The sequence below is a fragment of the Homo sapiens genome, chromosome 4 (genome assembly GCF_000001405.40).
Source record: "Homo sapiens chromosome 4, GRCh38.p14 Primary Assembly".
NCBI classification, from domain to species: domain Eukaryota; kingdom Metazoa; phylum Chordata; class Mammalia; order Primates; family Hominidae; genus Homo; species Homo sapiens.
This window is the reverse complement of record NC_000004.12, coordinates 61,943,226-61,964,197: the sequence shown is the minus strand read 5'-3', so window position 1 is coordinate 61,964,197 and position 20,972 is coordinate 61,943,226. Positions and strand designations below refer to the sequence as shown.

At 36.8% G+C, this 20,972-nt stretch overlaps 1 protein-coding gene across 59 annotated transcripts in view; it reads right to left on the bottom strand.

The window, feature by feature from the left end:
* The window catches only part of ADGRL3 (adhesion G protein-coupled receptor L3), an 878,010-nt gene that overhangs the window by 114,138 nt on the left and 742,900 nt on the right, over window positions 1–20,972 (bottom strand). For all 59 annotated transcript variants that reach the window (NM_001387552.1, NM_001322402.3, NM_001387522.1 and 56 more), the window contains 2 exons: window positions 17,076–17,284; window positions 15,922–16,098 (listed from right to left, as the gene is read on the bottom strand). In NM_001387552.1, coding sequence (NP_001374481.1) covers window positions 15,922–16,098; window positions 17,076–17,284 — 386 coding nt within the window. The remainder of the gene's footprint in view (window positions 1–15,921; window positions 16,099–17,075; window positions 17,285–20,972) is intronic.

Below are 20,972 nucleotides of genomic sequence, written 5' to 3'. Positions count from 1 at the left end.
TTAATAATGGGAACAAGAAGTTCAGATGATTTGTCTAAGAACAAAAAGGAATTACTTAAAACACTGGAATCAGAAACCTAAGCCTCCTGATTTTTAATTCTTATTCCTACTTTCCTGAATTATAAACTTGGGAAATAAAGAATTGTGATGACAATACCTTTTGTGATGCTATGGATTAAATGAGATAATCTATGTAGACATTAAAGGAATGATGTTCATCCTTATTATGAGAGGTCTTGAGACACTCTGGGCCCTTCTGAGAGTTGAAGTCTTCATCCAGTGTCCACATTTTAGGATCCCTTATGTACTTGATTACTTTTTTTCTTACAAAACGTTTCTCACTAGAATTGCAGATGAACCTCTAGCTGCTATTTTTAGCCAATTTTATTTGCTGAAGATGAAACAGAACCTAAATAGTTTAAGTGTGAGGATCCAAGCTGTGCATAGGAGGATCACAGGATTCTTTCTGCTTAAAAGTTCTATTGTCCACTATTCATAATAGCAAATACATGGAATCAACCTAGATGCCCATTAATGGTGGACCAGAAAAAGAAAAATGTGGTACATATACACTATAAAATACTATGCAGCCATAAAAAGAATAAAATCAAGTCCTTTGCAGCAACATGGATGGAACTGGAGGCCATTTTTCTAAGAGACTTAATGCAGGAAGAGAAAACCAAACACTGCATGCTCTCTCTTAAAGTGGGAGATAAATATCGACTACACATAAACACAACAAAGAAAACAATGGACACTAGGGCCTTCTTGAGAGTGGAGGGTGGGAGGGGGTGAGGACTGAATAACTACCTATCAGGTACTCTGTTGATTATCTGGATGACAAAATTATCTGCCCACTAAGACCCTGTGACATGCAATTTACCCATGTCACAAACCTGCACATGTATCCCCTGAACCTAAAATGAAAGTTGGAAAGGAAAAAAAAAATAGTCATAGTAAAATAAAAAAATAAATTCTGCCATAATCCAGAAAAAAACTCAAAGAAAGCATGTTATTAAATAATATAAAATTTATTGAAAAAATATATATTGCAAAATAAAAAAAAAATACAGCCTTATATCACGCTATCATAATTGTGTCTCTCATTTTGCTTAAACAAACTGTCCTAGGAAGTGATGTCACTTCCTCTAGGGTGTCTTCTCTGACTCTTCAAGGTCCAGGTAAAGCTCTTTCCCATGTGTTTCCACAGCATCCTCTATAGTTGTGAGAACTATAACACATTTCTCACAAGATGCTGATTTTGCTGATAAGTTGTCTATACTACTAAATAAACTGTAAGCTTTGCTTGTCACAAAGATGGTACTCAACTATTTGGGGAACAATAAAGGATGGATTGAGCACATTATAAATTTAAAAAATTAAAATTAATAGAACAAAGTTTCCAAATACGTTCCCACAGATTCCTCTTAATTACAAAAAGTTCAATGTTTCTGTACAATGTAACTTTTTAACCAAGTGATCCAAATTCAGTAATACAAATGACTAAATTGATAGTAACTGAACATCTTGATGCAATGGGAAGGATACAGCATCTACTACATGGTGTTCTTGACAAAAATGTTTTACCCAAATCTAATCATGAGGGAAAAAAATAAGAAAGGTTGTGACTGTGAACATTCTACAGGTCAACTGACCTGGACTTTACAAAATATCATTCTCATGAAAGACAAAAACAGGCAGAAATACATAAAAGAAGATTAGCAACAAGGCAAATGAAGGCAACGTATGATCCTTGGTTGGGTCCTGCTTGAAAAAACAATGACTCTCTTGGGACAACTGGGAAAATTTTTTGTGGATTATATAGTAGATTATAGTATTGTATCAATGTTAAATATCTTGTTTGTGTTAACAATAATGTTCTTAAAATATAATTGCTTGAAATTTTAGGAGTTAAGTAATATAATATCAGTAATTTACTTTCTATCTTTCTTTTTTTTTGAGATGGAGGCTTGTTCTGCCACCCAGGCTGGAGTGCAGTGGTGTGATCTCGGCTCACTGCAACTTCTGCCTCCCAGGTTCAAGCAATTTTCCTGCCTCACCCTCCTGAGTAGCTGAGACTATAGGCCCATACCACCATGCCTGTCTAATTTTTTGTATTTTAGTAGAGACGGGGTTTCACTGTGTTGCCCAGGCTGAACAACTTACTTTCAAAAAGTCAAATAATCCAGCAAAATATACACACATGCACAACATATACAGAAAGCCAACTGTGTCAAATAGTTAGATATGAATTCAGAAAAAGGGGTATATGAGTATTTATTGTATCATTCTTCCAACTTTTCTATAAAAGTTCTGTAAAAGAGTGGAGAAAAAAGAAATAAAATGATTTTAATGGTTTGTTTTTCTTCAAATCCATAATTTTAGCTGCTCTCTTTCTATGAATAATTTTAGACATATCTTTTTCTTTCATGAATTTAAGAAGATATACCACAAGTTGGTGTCAATTCCCCTCCTCAAATAGAAAGACTATCTTTCTCAATATCTCTAGGTAGATTCTCTTTCTTCTTTTTTTCCTCCCTGCACTTCACAGAGATAAGTAATGGGGAAAATACATATAACTTTTACTCTTCTTCCTCCGATGATTTTTTCCTATTCACAACAACTTCATCAGAAATGAAATAAAAGAGGCTTTAGGTAATTGGTGGTCCACTGTAGATGGGAGAAAGCAGTAAGGAAGGCAGCTTTCTCCTTTTCCTGTTTTATAACAGGAAATGCACAAAAGAGAATTAGAGTCAAGGTTGATGTTCCAGGAGCCATCATGGTAGGAAGACAATTCTCCCATTATACTCATTCATATTTTGAAATACCCTTTCTCTGCCCATTGTATGCAAGCAAAATATAGTTCTACATACTCTCCACAACCTGGGGAATTAAAAGATCGGTGTTTGCAAGTGTCTGGCACAGAAGGAGGGAAAGCAAGTGGGCAAGGAAGGTGGCAGCTATCTTTTTTTAAGCAAAAGGGATGTGTTTTTTCTTGGTAGCCTGGGCAAAAATTTAACCAACTCTTACAAATGGTTAATATCTAGTTCTAGACAATTATAAGTGGTTAAGAACTAGCTCTAGATACATAGGAGGCCTGGGTGAATATGCTAACTGATCTCAAAATTTAGAGGGGTTAGACGTAAAGACCTGTATTGCAAAATACAGATTTATTTTAATGTAAAAACTAGGCCAGGTGCAGTGGCTCACACCTGTAATCTCAGCACTTCGGGAGGCCAAGGCGGGCAGATCATGAGGTCAAGAGATCGAAACCCTCCTGGCCAAAATGGTGAAACCTCATCTCTACTAAAAATACAAAAATTAGCTCGGTGTGGTGGCGCACGCCTGTAGTCCCAGCTACTCGGGAGGCTGAGACAGAGAATCGCTTGAACCTGGGAGGCGGAGCTTGCAGTGAGCCGAGATTGTGCCACTGCATTCCAGCCTGGGCGACAGAGTCAGACTCTGTCTCAAAACAAAATAAAACAAAACAAAACAAAAAACACTAATCCATATGTTTAGGAAGTATGTACATCATTACATCATTTAGGATCTGCACATGGGCATGGCTGAAGTTTCCTTCTCAGTAAATATAAAACTGGTAAATGTAAAACATTAAATATGTTATGTATTTATAAAACAGGCCATGCTGCTCCTCTGCTCAAAACTCTCCTGTGGCTTTCCAGAGTGCTCAGAGTAAAACCCAAACCCAGAGTCCTTCCTATGTCCTACGAAGTCTTCTGTTCTAGACCCTCCGGCCTGTTCTGCTAACATACTCTCTCTTACTTTTTCCACTCCAACCACACTGTTCTCCTTGCAGCTCCTCAAACATATCAAAATCATCCTGGTTCAGGGTCTTGTTTTTGTTCCCTCTGTCTTTCCCCAGGTGATCTTCAAGGCCTACTCTCTCACTTCCTTCAGGACTCTGCTCCTAATACTGAACTTGGACACAAGAGGAAGAAGTAAACAATAAAACAGCATACTAGCAAATACATAATTTCAAATTTGAATAAGTGCATGAAGGAAATATATTATGACAAGAGTGTTCAGTGAGAAAACACCAAAAAATTCTTGGTTCTAAAAGGTTAGCTTTTGGATAAAGTTAATATTCAAGATAATGTAATAAAATCTTACGTTTTTGAAACCAGTTTCTTTTCAAGAAATTTTCTATATTTTGAGGTACTCAACATGCAAGTTATGTAGTTTTTCCTTAAATAAATACATTAGTTAAAGTACTATTTATACTAAAGTATTATACTAAAGTATTAGCTATGATTTTTAATCTCCACCTCCACCTAAATCCCACCATACTATAGATAGCAAAATACAAAATGAGTGTAAGAACTAGGAATAGGATTGTGCAACCTTTAGCATCATAAATTCAATATTTTGTTTTCTAATAATAAAGCTAATTTCTTAAATTTTCTAAATTTCTAATAATAAAGCTAATTTCTTAAATTTGGGGCTTTAAAAAGTAAAAATATTCTTTTTGAAAAACAAGTACTTTCATGTTCAACGGTAGAGCCTTACAATGTTAAACTACCTAGTGTTTTCTTCTAGCCTAGAAAAAGTTTAGCCATAAAATATTCAACACACAGAATCCATGGTATGGAATTAAAATGTTCCAAACTGTGACTGTTTTGAATCAATCCTACATTTAGAAAGAAATACAATGGCTTTAAACAACAAATAAAGGCCCATACTTGGAATGAGGTGAAGTTGGGATGGGGTGATAATAGTAATCTTTAAAAAAAATACAATCATCAAACTAAAGAAAGTGAAGTCTTTTAAAGATAATAAAGATCAATGTCAAGTTGAATTGACAGGAGAGAGTAGGCAGACTTTTTGTATTATCTCCAAAGAATTATAATTTGACTAGAGAAAAGAGCTAGTAGTATAAATTATAAGACCATTTTCTGAGGCATATGTTACGGTGCTCTACAAAACCACAGTAGAAATGTTAATTTAATTACTTTGAAACTTATGCTGCTGTAAATTAAAATATTCCCTCCACAAAGGGGGTTACAAAAGAGAATTAGTACTAAGAGATGAACAGACATTTGGATTTAGTTTTTTAACATTCTTCTAAACAACAGAGAAATCTGCAATTCCCAATAATGGAAGGTTTTAAAATATCATAAACACTATAACTCAGTTAAGTATACAATTACATTACCTAAATTTTATAATGGTTACTTTTGGGTCTAAAAGAGAAGACAATCAAATGTTTCCTTAGACAGTAGAAGCAGGGGGAATTCAGTAGTTAACCAGCTGTGTTGCCACCTTGGGGTTTATGGTAGCAATTCAGAAAAGTTACAAGTAGATGAGACAGGCTCTTCTCACCTTTGGATGTTAGCATAATTGGGAATTCAGAGATAACCCTGACATGGCTTAGCTCTCTGTTCCCACCCAAATCTCATCTTGAATTGGAATCCCCCTGTGTGGCGGGAGTGACCAGGTGGGAAATGATTGGATCATGGGGGCAGTTTCCCCCATGCTGTTCTTGTGATAGTGAGGGAGTTCTCATGAGATTTGATAGTTTAAAAGTGGCAGTTTTCCCTGCTCTCTCTCTCTCACCACCTTGTGAAGAAAGTGCCTGCTTCCCCTTCACCTTCTGCCATGATTATAAGTTTCCTGAGGCCTCCCCAGGCATGTGAAACTGTGAGTCAATTAAATCTCTTTCCTTTACAAATTACCCAGTCTCAGTTATTCTTTATAGCAGTGTGAAAATGAACTAACACAATCCCTCACAGCAGTTAGTGTTGTGGTTTCTAATAAAGAAAGAAAGAAAGAAAGAAAGAAAGAAAGAAAGAAAGAAAGAAACCTTTACAACATTAGCATTAATAAACTTACAACCAATTAGAAACAAGAATGAAGACAAAGCAAAACAAGACACTTTTTGGATATGTAAGAGGTCTTATACCATATAACATGGTTTTTCTTTTAATGAATTCTGTCCACTTGGTCAAAAAAAATTATTTTATATACCATAAAAGGCACTGGGGTTGCAAACAAGAAGAAAAGACATTCCCTAATAGGAGGAAGTCACAGTCTAGAGAAGATAAATACGTTTCAAGAGATGATTATAATATAAATTGATGAGAGGTACACAAAGTATTTCAGAAATATGTGAAAAGAAAGTTAACTTTTACTGAATACTCATTATGTGACAAGCACAGCTCCAAATCTCTAAATTTGCACAACTGCAGCAATTTCTGAATACACAGATTAGAAATTAGTAACATTTGTGAAACACTGAAAACGATACTTTTTTTATAGAAAGCAAGAGGCAGAGTGTGTTTTATTGGCAGACAGCATGTATGAAGAAAAGAAAACAAATGAAATAAAAAGATGCTACAGGATAATTTTACATCTGACTCACTAAAAGGTTCAACATTTTTCAAATTGCAATTAGCTATGTTTTTCATAAATTTAAATATTTAAGAAATAATCAAAACAAAGCTTTAACTAGTTTTATTTGTATCAACAGCAGTGTCCTTGTACAAAAAAAAAAATTAATTTAGTTTTTTCCTAAGGTCTTTGTCAGTTCCAAATTGTAAACTACTATATAAATGTAACCTCCAGCCTGGGCAACAAGAGCAAAACTCTGTCTCAAATAAATAAATAAATAAATAAATAAATAAATAAATACATAAATGTAACCAAGAGAGAAAAAAATGTACCATTAAATTAATAAGTAATCCTCTTTTATATAGAGAGATTACTTATAATTTGGCTATGCTTATTTATGGACTATGAGATGGCCAGGCATAACTACTCTTTTATATAAAAGTTCTCACATAGCCAACTCTAATAAATTGAGAGCTATAAGATGACAAGCATTCCTTTATGCCAACAATAGACAAGTAGAGAGCCAAATCGTGAATGGACTCTCATTCAAAATCACTACACAGAGAATAAAATACCTAGGAAATAGCTAACAAGGGATGTGAAGGATGTCTTCAAGGAGAACTACAAACCACTGTTCAAAGAAATAAGAGAGGACATAAACAAATGGAAAAACATCCCATCTTCATGGATAGGACGAATCAATATTGTGAAAATGACCATACTGCCCAAAGTAATCTATAGATTCAATGATATTTCCATCAAACTGCCATTGACTTTCTTCACAGAATTAGAAAAAACTACTTTGAATTTCATATGGAATCAAAGAAGACCCCGTATAGCCAAGACAATCCTAAGCAAGAAGAATGAAGCTGGAAGCATCATGCTACCTGACTTCAAACTACACTAAAATACTACAGTAACCAAAAAGCATGGTATTGGTACCAAAACAAACATATAGACCAATGGAACAGAACAGAGATCTCAGAAATAACACCACACATCTACAACCTTCAGACCTTTGACAAACCTGACAAAAACAAACAATGGGGAAAGTATCTCCTATTCAATAAATGGTGCTGGGAAAACTGACTAGCCATATGCAGAAAACTGAGACTGGATCCCTTCCTTATACCTTATACACAAATTAACTCAAGATGGGTTAAAGACTTAAACATAAAACCCAAAACCACAAAAACCCCAGAACCAAACCTAGGCAATACCGTTTGGGACATAAGCATGGGCAAAGACTTCATGATGAAAACACCAAAAGCAATTGCAACAAAAGCCACAGTTGACAAATGAGATCTAATTAAACTAAAGAGCTTCTGCACAGTGAAAGAAACAATCATCAGTGTGAACAGGTGACCTACAGATTAGGAGAGAAATTTTGCAATCTACCCATCTGACAAGAGTCAAATATCCAGAATTTACATGAAACTTAAACAAATTTACAAGAAAAAAACAAACAACCCCATCCAAAAGTGGGTAAATATGAACAGACATTTCTCCAAAGACGACATTTACGCAGCCAACAAACATAGGAAAAAAAGTTCAACATCACTGATCATTAGAGAAATACAAATTAAAACCACAATGAGATACCATCTCATGCCAGTCAGAATGGCAATTATTAAAAAGTCAAGAAACAACACAGATGCTGGCAAGGCTGTGGAGCAATAGGAACACTTTTACACTATTGGTGGGAATGTAAATTAGTTCAGCCATTGTGGAAGACAATATGGCAATTCCTCAAGGATCTAGAACCAGAAATACTATTTGACCCAGCAATCCCATTACTGGGTATATACCCAAAGGAGTATAAATCATTCTACTATAAAGATACATGCACATGCATGTTTACTGAAGCACTATTTACAATAGCAAAGTCATGGAACCAAACCAATTGCCCACCAATGATAGACTGGATAAAAAAAATGTGGTACATATGCACCATGAAATACTATGCAGCCATAAAAAGGAATGAGGTCATGTCCTTTGCAGGGACATGGATGAAGCTGGAATACATCACCCTCAGCAAACTAATACAGAAATAGAAAACCAAACACTGCATGTTCTCACTCATAAGTAGGAGTTGAATAATGAGAACACATGGATACAGGGAGGGGAACAACACACACCAGGCCCTGTTGTGGGATTGGGGGGTGAGGGAAGGGAACTTAGATGACAGGTCAATAGGTACAGAAAACTACCATGGCACAAATATACCTATGTAACAAATCTGCACATGTATCCTGGAACTTAAAGTAAAATAAATAATAATAATAATTGAGAGGTGTTTCTTTATTGAAATGACTTCCCCCAGCAGAAATTCATCACTAATTAGTTCAAATTAGTTTTTGTGTTTAACTGTCATGTACTTAAAGAAAAATCATTTCAAAGTATATTTGATCTTTGATATGGGATAGCTACAATGAATGAAAGTATATGTATCTTAATTAATTTAGTAAGCATTCATTATTATGTAGTTTAATTTGTTTAAGTTATTATGTTCTAAAGTTTGAAGAACATATCTGAGGTACAAGTAATCAGTAAGTCTAATTTAAAGTATATTTACAATGTTTTTACTACTGTCTAGTTTGAAAGCTAAGGGCTAGATCACTGAAAAATAGTTACTCAGTATTTTCTTATTCAGACCTCTGGTGCTAAAGTAAAAGTTTTGAACAAATAATCAAAATAGGAAAGAATTAAAATTTAGAAACAAAACAAAAAACACCTACGCTAACCCACTATCCCCTACTCTATAGAACAAAATGTAATGTTATTGAAAAGGCAGAAAAGCTTCAGTGCTCCTATTTAATTTTCTAAGCAACGTTCAGCTGGAATCATGCCATTTACTTTTCTTGTCTGCCTGAGGGGACCTAGCTGAAATCTCTCTGAGCACCCCAGTGAACAAATCAGCCTTGACACAACCTTCCCTTGATAAACCATAAATTCTCTGAGGCCAGGGACCTGGTTTGCTTACTCCCTCTATATTTTGTGGAGATGGGGCAATCTAAAATTTTAAATAGGGTAACAAGGAAAGCCTCATTGAGTAGGTAATATTTGAGCAAAGACTTGAAAGAGATGAGAAATCTTGGCAAGCGCTGTCCTTGTGGTGGTGGGATGGGGAGTGTTGAGAAGAGAAAGACACTTAGGTCTAACTAGGACACATCTGATGTTTTTGTGGAAAGGCAAGGAGGCCAGTGGCTAGAGCAGGTGAGCAAGGGGAACAGTGGTAGGAGAGGATGTCGAGAGATGCTAATGCGGGCCAAGATTTGAGATTTTGCTCTTACTGAGATAAGGAGTCATTAGAGATTGAATCAAAGGTATGAAGTGCCTGATTTGCATTTTAAAGGGTTTTGGGAATAAATTTGAGGAGTGACATGATCTAACTCACATTTTAAAAGTATCCCTCTGGCAACTATGTTGAAAATTAAATTAAGAGAAACAAAGAGGGAAACAGACAGCAGTTAAGGAGCTATAGCAAACAAGCAGAGGGGAGATGATAGAGGTTTAAACCTAGGTGGTAGGGAGGATGTTGAGAAGAGATCAAATTCTGGATCTGGCAGGAGATGCTGATGGGATTGAGTGTGCAGTATGAATGAAAATAAACAAATAAAAGGTGATGCATGCTTTAGGACCAGAGCATCTGAAAGAACAGAGTAGCCTTTTACTAAAATGGAGAAGACTTAGATGAGAGAATATCATAAGTATATAGTTCTAGAATAGTTATATCAAGCCACTGGTGCAATCTGAGTCTGGAATTTTAAAATGGAGATAGAAATATGTGAGAGTCATGAGATGAGGTATACATCCATATGACTGCATGACATCTCCGAGGGAGAAGAGCAGGTATATAGGATTATGCTCAGGACCAGAATGACAATGAGAGGTCAAGCAGATGAGGAGAAAACAGTAAAATATGCTAAAAAGGACAAGTTGCTGAGAAAGGAAAGAAACTAAGGAGTAGTGTACCCAAGGCAAACTGAAGAACGTGTTGCAAGAATGCGGCCAACCCAGTGTCCACACATTAACTTATGAAATACATCTGATCTTTATAACAGGACACTTCTTTGATAAGCCCTCTCTGAGGACTCCTGGGTCACACAGATGATCTTCCCCTATGTCTCTAAATCACAGGGCAGGCCTTGGTTATAATTCTTATAAAATTATGACTCTAGCTGCAGTTTCTCTTCTGTGTCCTTCTTCCCTATCTCCACTTCTCTAAAAATATGAGTTTTTTGAGTGCCTGAAGTTTCCACTGGAATCCTTGGAATTCAGTGATACATCTGACAATTAGGAAGGAGGAAGTTACATTTATTCAGAGCCTACTGTGTATTAGGCAGTGTGTCAGTATCTTTATGATGTTTATCTTAACTTAGGTGATCAAAAATGTGGATAAAAGAATAAAGAAAATGTTGACTGAACACATATGACAAATAAAAGCAATTCAGTGCATTGGGAGAGCTCTGGAGTGGAGAAGGATGCATCAGGATACCACAGCTTGATGCCAATAGCTATCAAGATTATTGAGCTAACTCTTCTTGCACTCTTTCTAAATTCCTCAAACAAAATTTTCCAATATAATTTTGTTTCCTTTACAGATTTTCCTGTAGAGTTAGAAACTGACAACTAGAAGACATAAATATCTGTTCCAACTGGCTGCTGTACTTCTGTGTATGAATAAATTAATGTTCTGTTTGAAACATCAGTCTAAGGTAAGTTTGGTTAGTGTGTTTCTTTTTGAAACTCTAGAGATGATCAGTCTCCTTGTTTTCTGTTTTTCATTGATCGCTAACATTCCAAAATCATGTTGTAAGATCAAAATAGGGTTGATGTAAACAATCACAAGAGATTATGATATAAGAATTCCAGGACACACATGCTTTGTGATTGACTGCTAAAGGAAAATATTGATTTCCATTTATTTTATCTCTTGTTGACACACAATAGTGGTCACAGTCATGACTGTTATACAATGGATTGCGGAAAGGTTGTTAGGCAATGAACTGAGCATAAAATGATATTTTGTTGCTGCCTCAAATTTGATTCGTTTTTCTGAGTCTGAGTTTATTACCTAGGCTAGAATGTAGAATCTCAGAGCCAGAGTAATACAATCCAGATTTAAATCTATTACTTGTTAATATATAGCCAATCTTGCTAAGATGGATCAATTTGTGATGCTCTGACAAAATAGAGTTTGTAGTCCTTCGAACATCAAAATTTAAACTGTGCTGACACAGGTAAGGTAATTTTATTTTTAAGCTGCTAATTGAGCATGAATTTGTTCTCCCTCTGGTATACCTGCACCATCTCTCTCTAAATTTGAGTCAAATAAAATTTTGGATGAAATTGTTTTTTTTTTTTTTTTGAGACAGGGTCTCACTCTGTTGCCCAGACTATAGTGCAGTGGCACAATCACAGCTCACTGCAGCCTCAACCTCCCAGGCTCAAGCAATCCTCCCACCTCAACCTCCCAAGTAGCTGGGACTACAAGGGTATGCCACCACACCTGGCTAATTTTGGTGTTTTTTAAATAGAGATGAGGTTTCACTATGTTGCCCAGGCTGGTCTTGAACTCCTAAGCTCAAGTGATCTGCCCGCCTCAGCCTCCCAAAGTGCTGAGATTACAGGCTGTAAGCCACCACGCCTGGTCTGGATGAAATTATTTGGATCAATAACATAAGGTAGCTAAAAATTTTGCCATCATTTTTACTTTGTAAAATGTAAAGGAGATTAATACTTTCCCTATTTTTACTGACTGCAGGGAGAAGAGAATGTACATGCAGATAGCCTTTCTATCGACCTCTATAACCAAGGTAATAAGCCATTTATATCTTTGTATCCTAGTATATCTGAAATATAAATCCTCTTCATGACTACCACAACAGCCCTTGTCTACGCCCTAGACACCCTTTACCAGGACTTATTGAAATAACTGTCACACTACAACCAGTCTAATCATTTTGTTTGTTTTGTTTGTTTGTGACACAGTCTTGCTTGGTCGCTCAAACTGGAGTTGCAGTGGTTGATCTCAGCTCACTGCAACCTCTGCTTCCTGGGCTCAAGTGATCCTCCCACCACAGCCTCCTGAGTAGCTGGGACTACAGGCATGCACCATCACGCCCAGCTAATTTTTGTATTTTAGTGGAGAGGGAGTTCTGCCATGTTGCCGAGGCTGGTCTCAAACTCCTGACCTCAAGTGATCCACCCACCTCAGCCTCCCGAAGTACTGGGATTACTTGCATGAGCCACTACGCCCAGCCAGTCTAATCTAAAGTTGAAATCTAATTGACATCTATCATCCACATAGAATTGGGAATAATCTGTCTAACATTGCAACATAAACTGGTGCTATTATTGTTTAGAGATCTAGCAATCGTTTCTTAGTTGCCCATGGAATCACAGCAAAGATCCATATTACAGGTATACCCTGAGACCCTGGAAAGAGAGCCCCCAACCCTGAGCCTCCTACTTTTGAAGGGGTTGGGTAAACCACTGACTGTGAGCCAGGAGTCGGCTCCCCTGACACTGCCATGTACAGGTGCAGAACTCTGGGGATTCTGAGAATCCTAAGTTCAGATTGTGTGTCTTTGGTGATTATAAAGCTATATTTTGTTAAGTCAGGTTATATTTCATTTTTCTCAGCTTTAAGTATTACTTGTAAATATTTAGACATGTAGGATATTGAGACTCGTACTCTGAGCCTGCAGATGTTAAGCCCATCTAAATTTCCACATTGTCCTGATTCAAGCACAAGAGATGGAAATAAATAAATAAGTAAAAATAAAAAATAAAATTTTATATTATGCCCTTCATGGCCACAGTTCTAATAAGTTCTTCAGTTCACCTCCAATTTCTAACTACAGTGAAAGCTGGTCAAATGAATTGGGTTATTCTTGTTATACCAACTAAAACAGAGGCAAAAGACAGGAAAGAAAGCATTCAGGGCACAAAACATGGCTCCAAGAATGGAATTCACTGTAAGCCCCCATGCTGAAACTGCCTGTTGTAATCTGAAACCAGTTTTATCCAATAGCTACTGAAACAACCTCCTTTGACTCCAAGACGCATCGCCTGTCACTCACCAATCAGAGCTTGCCAGCTCTCCACACTTTACTAGTGCCAATGAACTTTCTGGGAAGACAATATGTAACACTTCTTCTTTTTATGAAATCTCCAACCCTCTTTTTGTTCTTCAGGCATAAGGAAGACCACCCAGTCTGTGTGTATACCCTGAACTGCAATTCTTGTTTCCCCAATCAAATCTTAAATTTAGATATTTGTTTCTGTTTTTACTTTGACTTAAACACTAGCCTTGTTATACTTATTGTGTATTAATTCTAAACTCTTTTACCATGCTCTACACACCATGATATATAATATCTTTATGTTTTCGCTCCTGCTGTTTTCTCTGATTGAAATGTTCTTCACAACTTTTCTGGCTAATACATTAATCTCTTAATATACAGCTTTTAAATCTCTAAGAACTTCTCCAGACTTTTATTATACTTATTCAATTTTCCCACAGTACACTGTTCAAACTTCATTCTTATCACTACCTTATTAACTATATAGCTGTTTTTTTCTGTCTCATCTAAAAAAAAACCTGTAAACCTTTGAAGGCAGTGTTCATATCTTATTTATTATTATTACACTACTAACACATATGTGCTGAACTGAACAGTATGGTTAAAAATACATGTTATTTCACATTTTATTGAACTTATAAAGACAATTGTTTTGAAAATACTATTTACCAGTTACTAAATTTGAAAGCTAAGTAGTGTTAGTTAAATAGTGAAAAATTTTAATGAATTGTATGAAAGAATGTTCGATCTTTGCAAAAGCCATTCCAGGGTTTTAAGTAGTCATTTTCTTTCCACAATGAAATATGTACCAGATAATTATAGCAGAGATATTATAATATAAAATGCTGTGAAAACTAAGCTTTAACTTTCGCATAAAGTGTTGAAGCTATGAGTGCTTTTCCCTACCAAAGCAAAATACCAATGCTAGTTCTAATGACAAATAATTTTGTATATATTATACAAGATTAATAATCTTAAAGACTAATGCATATGAAATTGAATTTAACTTATAAAGACATTTTAAAAAACTATGAAGTTATATTTTAAGATTTTTTTTTTTATTTGAGACAGAGTCTTGCTCTGTCTCCCATGCTGGAGTGCACTGGTGCGATCTCGGCTCACTGCAACCTCTGCCTCCCTGGTTCAAGTGATCCTCCTGCCTCAGCCTCCCGAGTAGCTGGGATTACAAGCATGCACCAACGCTCAGCTAATTTTTGTATTTTTAGTAGAGAGGGGTTTTGCCATGTCAGTCAGTCTGGTCTCTAACTCCTGACCCTGAATGATCCTCCCGTCTTGGCCTCCCAAAGTGCTGGGATTACAGGCATGAGCCACCATGCCCGGCCTATTTTAAGATTTTAAATGCAATTATCCATTTAGTTTATGACATACAATATTCAGAAAAAAAGTATTATTTTTGTTGAGCATCTTGTTTGAAAGTTCAAAAATTAAATTTTTAATGCCACATAATGTATATAATTTATTAATAGCCTTCTTCCAAATATAACAATTGGTTGAACCCAACACGGGATCTGAGTCAGCCTCAGTTCTTAACCATTGAGATGAGGAAAGCAAGATATTTGCATTCTCAAACATCTCTGGCCATGAAGTATCTTGCTTGAAATAAAAACTGAAGTTTTCAACCCCATACATTTCTACAGGTTGAGTATTAGTATTACTCAGTGTTAGCAATAATCTTACCTACTACTGATGCACTGACCTGCTTAGTGTTTTTTTTTTTTTTCTGAGTTTCCTGACCTAGGCCTCCTAAAATCTGATAGTTACTGCATTTCTAGCCTTCACTGTTAGCCTGCTTGAGTTGATCTCCTGAAACCCTGCCAGCCTTCTCTTCCCTTGCAAACTCATAGACTCCATCTCACAACCCTCAATACATATGAAAGCTAGTCACACTGGGAGGAAATTGATGTAGCCATGTTTCTGACTTTGGAAACTACCTATCATCTGGATTTTTCCTTAGAGTAGTGTCTTCTTGCATGGGCAGAACCCATTTCCTTATGTTAGGGTATGCCAAGTCCTTTGCACTACCATGCTCTGGGTATCGTGCTTGAGGGTTGCTTTCCCAAGAGTCAGTTTGACTGTATTTAACCTATGCATAGCTCTTTATTCTTCCGCCTCCCCAGTCCCAGCTTTCTAAACCAACCCCACTGGCCTTTGGTCCTGGAGTCCTATCTTACCCTGTTCATGAGGTTATGGTCTGACATTTATTATACAAAATAACAGGGAGACTAGGGGAAGTTTATTAAGCAAACTTCAATTTTATGAACTATTTTGATAATAGGAAAAGAGATAACAAGTTCTTTGAATCATCCACAAGGATATGGTTTGAACATCAGAGAGTTCCTTAATAGAATTACTATGAAAGTAGGAAAACATTGAAATATGATAGCCCATATAGTTAGGACTATTTACAGTTAGTGACCATATAATATACTAAAACATTTTCATTGTATGGTATATATCTTACCTTAACTTCCACATGTGCCATCAGTACTGCAAAATTTGTTAGGTGGTTACAAGAGCATGTAGTATGTGTCTTATTTGTTGTCAGGAGCCGACAGCCTTGTGTTGACCAATAACCTGTCATTGTACGCTTGGAGTAGCTCCAAAATGAACAGTTAGGGTTGAAATTTTCCTCTGACTGCTACAGGGGAAAAAAAATCCATAAAATCAACAACTACTTTATGATCATGTAAATTAGGTTGGCATTTTCTTTACATATAATACAACTTCATATTCTGTTCCAATTTTTTAGAGATGTCTACCAATGGTTTCATAAGTGGGCCTCAACAATTCTAAGTGAAATTGAATATATGCTATTGTTTGTTCCCTTTGACTAGAGAAGAGTGCACTATTTTTTTAAATTAACACTAAAATAATATACTAGTACCAATGTTTCAAAATCACACTAATTCTAATACACATTGCAAAATAAAGAGGTTAATTGCTCTTAACAACCAACATCTGAAAGGATGATCTTTAGAAATCTTTGTTGAATTTACAACCTCAATCTTTGTATATATGCAAAAATATATCTTCACGTGGACATAATTGCTTGAAATATCAAATATAGAACCATCTCTAGTTCTGTTTAATGTACTCCTATTCTTCTTTAAAAACACAGATAGTATTGTGAATATTTAAGGTATGCAACATAATGTTATGAAATACATGTAGACAGTAGAAAGGTTACCAAAGTGAAGTGAGTTAATATATCCATCGTCTCACATAGTTACCCATTGTTTTCTTGTTTTTGCAGCAAGAGCAGCTAAAAATCTATTCATTTCACATGAATCCCAAATACAGCAGAATTTTGTAATATTATCTGTGGTTTTCAGGCTGTAATTTAGTTCTCTACACTTGAGCTAGCTCTTTTTAGTTATGGAGAAGCAATTATAAATCCATCTATGAATGCTTTCACCATAAGTATTTACATATATAAGGATTATTCTCCTCCTCCAAATCTTATTTCTGACAAAAAAATTACCACTACATTGTACAGATAATGAACTGTTATATGTCAAATAGAAAAAACATTAAAAGAAAATTAATACACTTAATGTTCAGTGTTATAAAAATACAGATAATATGAACAACCAAGCTAATATGCCATTTTCTTACCTTGATATGTTTAACAGTAAATACCACAGGATCAGCCAAATAAACCTTGTTACTGAACTCTTTGTTTATTGCTGCCGTAATAACAGGGGAATTGACAATAACAGAATGATTTGTGGACAAAGCTTCCGTTCCCAACTTCATACTGGCATTCTCCGTGGATAAATAAGGACCCAAGTTGTTATACAGGACAAAGGCCACTCTGATCTCTCCTAAAGTAAATGCAAACTCTGATTAGTTTGTCCACTCTACTTAAATTAGTTAGTACTAATGAGATAGAAAATTAAATCCATGTAGTATGTATTCACACAAAAAATCCAGCATTCATTTCAACCAAAGTACCAAGTCATTTATGAGGAGAGGAAATTCAAATTATGCTAAAACAACTACATACCAATATTTTTTAAAATGAGCCTCAATCCCTATCTCACTCCATACTCAAAACTAAGTTTAAGATAGATCATACACCTAAACATAAAAACCAGAATCATAAGGCTTCTAGAACAAAATATAGAATAATATCCTTGTACTTTGAAGAAGGCAAAGATGTCTTCAATAAGACTCCAAAACATTTATCATAAAATGATATACTAAACTTTATCAAAACCAACAATCTATCAAAATATATCATTAAGAAAACAAACAAGGAAACTGAAATACATTTAAAAATAAGATTCATTATTATACAAAACATTTTTACCAACAAAAAATAAAATAATGGCATCTTAAAATGGCAAAAGATGTAAATACACACTTTAGAAAAATAAATAAAGGAAAGGCCAATAGACACATGAAAAATGATCAGTATCATTAGTAATTAGAGAATGAAAAATAAGACTACACTGAGTTTCAATTTCATACCCACAAGAATCTCTAAAATTGAAAAGACCGACCACACTAATGTTGATAAGGATGTGGAAGAAATGGAACTCTCGTACGCTTCTGGTGGTAGTGTAAAATAGTTCAACTGTTTGGAAAAATATTTGACAATTTCTTATAAAATTAAACATACATCTACCTTTCCCAGGTAACCGAAAACATATATCCACCACAATATATGGGGATATATATCCTTATTCTTAATAGCCCAAACTGGAAACAAGTCAATTATTATTTATAGGAGAATAAATAAATTATGGCACATTATATAATAGAATATACTAGGAGGAGGAGCCAAGATGGCCGAATAGGAACAGCTCCAGTCTACAGCTCCCAGCGTGAGCGACGCAGAAGACGGGTGATTTCTGCATTTCCATCTGAGGTACCGGGTTCATCTCACTAAGGAGTGCCAGACAGTGGGCGCAGGCCAGTGTGTGTGCGCACCGTGCGCGAGCCGAAGCAGGGCGAGGCATTGCCTCACCTGGGAAGCGCAAGGGGTCAGGGAGTTCCCTTTCAGAGTCAAAGAAAGGGGTGACGGACGCACCTGGAAAATCGGGTCACTCCCACCCGAATATTGCGCTTTTCAGACCGGCTTAAGAAACGGCGCACCACGAGACTATATCCCACACCTGGCTCAGAGGGTCCTACGCCCACGGAATCTCGCTGATTGCTAGCACAGCAGTCTGAGATCAAACTGCAAGGTGGCAACGAGGCTGGGGGAGGGGCGCCCGCCATTGCCCAGGCTTGCTTAGGTAAACAAAGCAGCCTGGAAGCTCGAACTGGGTGGAGCCCACCACAGCTCAAGGAGGCCTGCCTGCCTCTGTAGGCTCCACCTCTGGGGGCAGGGCACAGACAAACAAAAAGACAGCAGTAACCTCTGCAGACTTAAGTGTCCCTGTCTGACAGCTTTGAAGAGAGCAGTGGTTCTCCCAGCACGCAGCTGGAGATCTGAGAACGGGCAGACTGCCTCCTCAAGTGGGTCCCTGACCCCTGACCCCCGAGCAGCCTAACTGGGAGGCACCCCCCAGCAGGGGCACACTGACACCTCACACGGCAGGGTATTCCAACAGACCTGCAGCTGAGGGTCCTGTCTGTTAGAAGGAAAACTAACAACCAGAAAGGACATCTACACCGAAAACCCATCTGTACATCACCATCATCAAAGACCAAAAGTAGATAAAACCACAAAGATGGGGAAAAAACAGAACAGAAAAACTGGAAACTCTAAAACGCAGAGCGCCTCTCCTCCTCCAAAGGAACACAGTTCCTCAACAGCAACAGAACAAAGCTGGATGGAGAATGATTTTGACGAGCTGAGAGAAGAAGGCTTCAGACGATCAAATTACTCTGAGCTACAGGAGGACATTCAAACCAAAGGCAAAGAAGTTGAAAACTTTGAAAAAAATTTAGAAGAATGTATAACTAGAATAACCAATACAGAGAAGTGCTTAAAGGAGCTGATGGAGCTGAAAACCAAGGCTCGAGAACTACGTGAAGAATGCAGAAGCCTCAGGAGCCGATGCGATCAACTGGAAGAAAGGGTATCAGCAATGGAAGATGAAATGAATGAAATGAAGCGAGAAGGGAAGTTTAGAGAAAAAAGAATAAAAAGAAATGAGCAAAGCCTCCAAGAAATATGGGACTATGTGAAAAGACCAAATCTACGTCTGATTGGTGTACCTGAAAGTGATGTGGAGAATGGAACCAAGTTGGAAAACACTCTGCAGGATATTATCCAGGAGAACTTCCCCAATCTAGCAAGGCAGGCCAACGTTCAGATTCAGGAAATACAGAGAACGCCACAAAGATACTCCTCGAGAAGAGCAACTCCAAGACACATAATTGTCAGATTCACCAAAGTTGAAATGAAGGAAAAAATGTTAAGGGCAGCCAGAGAGAAAGGTCGGGTTACCCTCAAAGGAAAGCCCATCAGACTAACAGCGGATCTCTCGGCAGAAACCCTACAAGCCAGAAGAGAGTGGGGGCCAATATTCAACATTCTTAAAGAAAAGAATTTTCAACCCAGAATTTCATATCCAGCCAAACTAAGCTTCATAAGTGAAGGAGAAATAAAATACTTTATAGACAAGCAAATGCTGAGAGATTTTGTCACCACCAGGCCTGCCCTAAAAGAGCTCCTGAAGGAAGCGCTAAACATGGAAAGGAACAACCGGTACCAGCCGCTGCAAAATCATGCCAAAATGTAAAGACCATCGAGACTAGGAAGAAACTGCATCAACTAATGAGCAAAATCACCAGCTAACATCATAATGACAGGATCAAATTCACACATAACAATATTAACTTTAAATATAAATGGACTAAATTCTGCAATTAAAAGACACAGACTGGCAAGTTGGATAAAGAGTCAAGACCCATCAGTGTGCTGTATTCAGGAAACCCATCTCACATGCAGAGACACACATAGGCTCAAAATAAAAGGATGGAGGAAGATCTACCAAGCCAATGGAAAACAAAAAAAGGCAGAGGTTGCAATCCTAGTCTCTGATAAAACAGACTTTAAACCAACAAAGATCAAAAGAGACAAAGAAGGCCATTACATAATGGTAAAGGGATCAATTCAACAAGAGGAGCTAACTATCCTAAATATTTATGCACCCAATACAGGAGCACCCAGATTCATAAAGCAAGTCCTCAGTGACCTACAAAGAGACTTAGACTCCCACACATTAATAATGGGAGACTTTAACACCCCACTGTCAACATTAGACAGATCAACGAGACAGAAAGTCAACAAGGATACCCAGGAATTGAACTCAGCTCTGCACCAAGCAGACCTAATAGACATCTACAGAACTCTCCACCCCAAATCAACAGAATATACATTTTTTTTCAGCACCACACCACACCTATTCCAAAATTGACCACATAGTTGGAAGTAAAGCTCTCCTCAGCAAATGTAAAAGAACAGAAATTATAACAAACTATCTCTCAGACCACAGTGCAATCAAACTAGAACTCAGGATTAAGAATCTCACTCAAAGCCGCTCAACTACATGG